Source organism: Homo sapiens, chromosome 1, assembly GCF_000001405.40.
Source record: "Homo sapiens chromosome 1, GRCh38.p14 Primary Assembly".
In the NCBI taxonomy this organism is placed as follows: domain Eukaryota; kingdom Metazoa; phylum Chordata; class Mammalia; order Primates; family Hominidae; genus Homo; species Homo sapiens.
Window position 1 is genome coordinate 79,238,153 of NC_000001.11, and position 6,231 is coordinate 79,244,383.

The window sequence follows — 6,231 nt, forward strand, 5'->3', positions numbered from 1 at the left end:
GTCATAGTTCAATATGCAAGTCATTAAATACCTTTCTAAAATATTAATATTATAATTAATATTGTCACTCCATTATTTTATATGTAGCTAAGTAATAAGAATAAAAAATAAATCTTGATATACAAAACTTCCAGAAAATAAACTACATCTCCCACATTTTATAAAATAATACTTAAGAACTACCCTAGTTGACCTAGAGATTACAAATAAATATGTATATTTGTACATAAAATATGTATATTTTTACATAAATATAAAATTATTTTATAAAATAATACTTAAGAACTACCCTAGTTGACCTAGAGATTACAAATAAATATGTATATTTGTACATAAAATAACAGAAAAAAACACAGAAAATTAGGGCTTTTTCCCTGCACAATTTGGATCTCAAATTAAAGAATTTAATATTTGTTGGCTAGATTTAATACATTGTGAGTAAATTGCCATCCTGTCCTCAGAACTTCTTCCTCAAATATTTTCTGAGTTCTAAGAAATTTGTTTATAAATTCAATGCTTGGCCCCACAATTCAAATAACTCTAATGATAATTTTTATATCCATACATTTAGACGATACAAACAATGTATTAATCCAGCTGTTATTTTATTGGCTAAACTATGTGCTTGGAACACTGAGAGAGAAAAATTACCTAAATATATATTTTTTCAGGGTTCTCAAAAAAAAAAAAAATAGAAGTAGAATTGAGAATTACATTAGTCCATTCTCATGCTACTGTGAAGAAATACCTAAGACTGGATAATTTATGAAGGAAAAAGGTTTAATGGACTAACAGTTCCACATGGCTTGGGAGGCCTCGGGAAACTTACAATCATGGTGTATGGCACCTCTTCACAGGGCAGCAGGAGAGAGAATGAGTGCCAGCAGGGGAAATGCCAGATGCTTATAAAACCATCAGATTTTGTGAGACTTATTTACTACCACAAGAACAGTATGGGGGAAACCACCCCCATGATTCAATTATCTCCCACTGGGTCCCTCCCACGACACATGGACATTATGGGAGTAAAATTCAAGAAGAGATTTGGGTGGGGACACAGAGCCAAACCATATCACCAAAAGTCCAAGTCCAAAGTCTCGTCTGAGACAGTAAGTCCCTTCCACCTATGAGCCTGTAAATTCAAAAGCAAGTTAGTTACTTCCTAGATACAATGGGGGTGCAGGCATTGGGTAAATATATCCATTTCAAATGAGAGAAATTGGCCAAAACAAAGGGGCCACAGGCCTCATGCAAGTCCAAAATTCGATAGGGCAGTAATTAAACTTTAAAGTTCCAAAATGATCCCCTTTGACTGCATGTCTTATATCCAGGTCATGCTGATGCAAGAAAGGTGTTCCCACAACCTTGGGCAGCTCCACCCCTGTGGCTCTGCAGGGTACAGCCCCATTCCTGGCTGCTTTTACGGGCTGGTATTGAGTGTCTGAGGATTTTCCAGGTGCATGGTGCAAGTTGTTAGTGAATCTACCATTCTGGAGTCTGGAGAATAGTGGGCTTCTTCTAACAGCTCCATTAGGGAATGTCCGAGTGAGGACTCTGTGTTGGGAATCCAACCCCACATTTCCCTTCCATGCCACCCTAGCAGTGGTTCTCCATGAGGGTTCCACCCATGCAACTAAATTCTGCCTGAACATCCATGTATTTTCATACATTCTGGGAAATCTAGGCAGCGGTTCCCAAACCTCAATTTTTGACTTCGGTGCCCCTGCAGGCTCAACGTCATGTGTAAGCCACCAAGGCTTGGGGATTACATCCTCTGAAGCAATGGCCCGAGCTGTACCTTGGTCCCTTTAAGCCATGGCTGGAACTGAAGCAGCTGGAATTCAGGACACCACTTGCCCAGGCTGCACAGAGAAGAGTGGCCCTAGTCCCAACTCACAAAACCATTTTTTCCCCCTAGGCCTCCAGGCTTGTGATGGGAGGGGCTGCCCCGAAGATCTCTGATATGATCTGGACACATTTTCCCCATTGTCTTGGTTATTAACATTCTGTCTCTTCATTACTTATACAAATTTCTGCAGCCATTTTGAATTTATCCCCAGAAAATGGGGTTTTCTTTTCTGTTGCATTATCAGGCTGCAAATTTTCCAAACTTGTATGATGTGCTTCCTCTTGAAAACCTTGCCACTTAGAAAATTCTTTCTCCAGATACCCTAAATCAGTCATCTCTCTTAAATTCAAAGTTCCACAGATCTCTAGGGCAGGAGCAAATGCTGCCAGTCTCTTTGCTAAAACATAGCAAGAGTCACCTTTATTCCAGTTCCCAAGAAATTTCTCATCTCCATCTGAGGCCACCCCAGCCTAGACTTCGTTGTCCATATCACCATCACAATTTTGGCCAAAGTCATTCAACAAGTCTCTAGGAAGTTCCAAACTTTCCCACATTTTCCTGTCTTCTTCTGAGCCCTCCAAACTGTTCCAACCTTTGCCTGTTATCCAGTTCTGAAGTTGGTTCCACATTTTTGGGTGTCTTTATAGCAGCACCACACTCTCTGTGGTACCAATTTCCTGTATTAGTCTGTTCTCACATTTCTATGAAGAAATACCCAAGACTGGGTAATTTATAAAAGAAAGAGGTTTAATTGACTCATGGTTCTGCATAGCTGGGGAGGCCTCAGGAAACTTACAATAATGGCAGAAAGTACCTCTTTACAGGGTGGCAGGAGAGAGAATGAGTGCCAGCAGAGAAATGCTAGATGTTTATAAAACCATCAGATTTCGCTGGAACTCACTATCACAAGAACAGCATGGGGGAAACTGCCCCTATGATTCAATAACCTCCCACCAGGTACCTTTCATGACATGTGGAGGTTATAGGGATTACAATTCAAGATGAGATTTTGGTGGGGAAACAGCCAAGCCATATGAAGAATCACAATGGTCATTTTCATTGTCAAGGAACATGAGAAATTACTTTCTGCATCTTTGCAACTCATAAAAATTCCATAAGTCATTGAGTTTTTTTTACTTGTGAAAAGTCTATAAACCACTCAGTTGAAAATATATATATTTTTTATTATGAGCCCATACACATATCTTCCTACTGGGACACGTGAAGTTCCTGATTAAGGATGCTTAAAAATTATTTTGCCATAATTTCATGAAAATATAAAAATACATTTAAACTGGGTCAATAAATATGGCAACATTTTAATAGTGAAAATAAATTAAAGTTTTAAAATATTTAAAATAGTCTATTTCTTAATATTATAATGAAATTATTATACTTATATAATCACAAAGTGGATGTTTGAAAAATCAGGCAATATAATTTTATATATATCATTTGATCTGAACTCAATAAAAAGAAACAAAAGAGCAGAAGAAATATTCTCAACTTCTAAAAATGTGTAACTCTAGGTGGTGTATTATGGGTAATGATTTTCCATCTTCTACTTTTCTGTATTTTTGTAATTCTAGCATAAAGACATAATATTATAATGAAAATCATCTTAATAAAAATATAAATGCAAACATGCAAAGGGAAAAAATTAGCCTAAGCTTTCCTGAAGAGGAATGAAGTCGAAGTATTTATAGCATTGACAGCTGAGACACCACCATTTTAACACTAAATTGCTATACCACGAACTGACAGAACCCTGTGTGGAGGACGAAAAACTCATAATACACCCAAAGTGAAGAATCATATAGCAGCATGAAGGGGGGAAAATGAACTAAATGGGAGAAGTGTGTATGACACCAACTGCACTTAATTTGTGAGTTGTGGAAAATAAAAGGCATAGGGTGTGAAGAATGGGGTTCCAGGTTCTAACTAACTGTACATCCTTTAAGCAAATTAAGGTTCTTTTAGCTCATCTATAAAGTGAATTAATTAAGCCAGATAATTTCTAAAGTCCATCTTGACTCTAAATCAGATCCTAGCAAAAACAAGAAATCTACCACTTCAGATCCTTATGAAACCTAGGAAAAATATGAAATGCTAAAACACAGCAATGATATTAAAACTGTTCGGAATGAACACAGAACTATAGGGCATTATTATAATGGATTATTATATTATTATATTATCCATTATTATAATGGATTGCAAAGAGAATTTTCTATAGCCTTGCACAACAGTGACACCAAAGTATCTAAATCCTATTGATATTAGTACAAGTATAGACAAACTAACCAATGAGATAAGACAGAAAGCCCAGAAACAGCCACATATATATAGTCACCTCATTTATAGTAATATTGAAGTATACTGAAAAAGGAATTATCCTTTCGATGATATTTGGTCATCGAATATCATATTTTATATATATATATATATCTTGTGCATATATATCCATATTAGCACAAGAGATTGAATGTGTCCCCCCAAAATTCATGTGGAAATTCTAACCCTTAAGGTGATGATATGAGGAGGTGGGACCTTTGGAAGGTGATTAGGCCATGAGGCAGAGCCCTCCTGAATAGAATTAGTGGCCCTATAAAAGAATCCCCAGAGAGTTCATATGCCCATTCCACCATGTGAAGGCACAGTGAAAATACAGCAGTCTATGAACCAGGAAGTAAGCCCTCCAGCAGACACTGATTCTGTCAGTGACTTGATCTTAGACTTTCCAGCCTCCAGAACTGTGAGAAATAAATTTTTGTTGTTCATAAGTCATCAGTTTATGGCATTTTGTTATAGGAGCACAAACAGACCAGACAATGTGATTAAACAAATGTGGACCCTTACCTTGAGCTACACAAAATATTAAATTCCACATTAATAGTCAACCTAAACGTGGACAGTAAAACAATACACATTTGAAGATAAAACATAAAAGAACATTTTTGTAACCACGAAAAATTGTTCTTAAGCAGGACATAAGAAGTAAAAATTATAAAGAAAACCACTAATATCAAAACATACCATTAAGCTGAGCAGGATGGCTCAAGCCTGTAATCCCAGCACTTTGGGAGGCCAAGGCGGATCATGAGGTCAAGAGTTTGAGACCAGCCTGGCCAACATAGTGAAACCCTGTCTCTACTACAAATACAAAAATTAGCCGGGCATGGTGGTGTGTGCCTGTAGTCCCAACTACTCAGGAAGCTGAGGCAGGAGAATTGCTTGAACCCAGGAGGTGGAGGTTGTGGTGAGCTGAGATCGCATCACTGCACTCCAGCCTGGGCAACAGAGAGAGACTCTGTCTCAACAAAAACAAAACAAAACAAAACAAAACAAAACAAAACAAGACAAAACAAAAAACTACACATACCATTAAATAAACTTTTGCATGTGCCTGAATCAACCAAAAACAACAAAATATATAAACCATTGGTGTTCAAGACATAAAAATTAGACAATGCAGGGCAGTTCTCTGAGAGACATAAAATAAATGATGTGAGCCATATTGCTTTTCCGTAGGAAAGGGGAATCCACATTATGCTTAGCAAACTTCCTGAGTAGAAAGACTTTCTAAGAATGTCTTTGAACCATGGTTGCTAGAGTGCTCAGGACAGATTACAAGATAAGACACAGATGCATAGCTAGAGAATGTTAGAGATCTGCAAAGGAATCTCCTCAAGGGTACAGTAGAGTGCTGATTAGCACACTTGTGTGCACCAATACGAGGCAAATAACCAACCAAAATTGCTACAGGGAAAACCACCTGGAATTCTCACAGGTCTGGGAAGAGTGTATTTTCCGACCAGCCAAGTCTGGAAAAACTCATAACCCACCAGGCATTTGGTAGAGTAATAATACTGCTTCAGTTTTGGGGAATAATTATCTCTAGACAAAATATGTCATGACTACCACCTCACAAATTTTAAAAACAAAATTTGAAGGGATCAAACTCTTTCCAAATAACTATCCCAGAACAAAGCTCAAGAGTCCTTACAGGAATTCAAAGATATCCAAAATATTCCAAAATATAATAAACAGTGTCTGACATTCAATCAGAAATTAGTAGATATGCAAAGAAACAGAAAAATACAACCTGTTCTGATGAGAATAATTATTCAACTCAAACCCATTCAAAATAGATTTGGATATTAGAGTTAGCAGTAAGACATTAAAGCTGCTATACTGTATTTCATATGTTCAAAATAGTAAGTAGAGACATAGAAGGGATAAAAGAGAGCCACAGCTAACTTCTAAAAATGAAAACTACAGTATCTAAGATAAAAATAATACTAGATGGGATTAACAGGAAGCTAAATATTGCAGAACAAAAGGACAGTGTACATGAAGACATGGAAGTAGAAATTATTCAA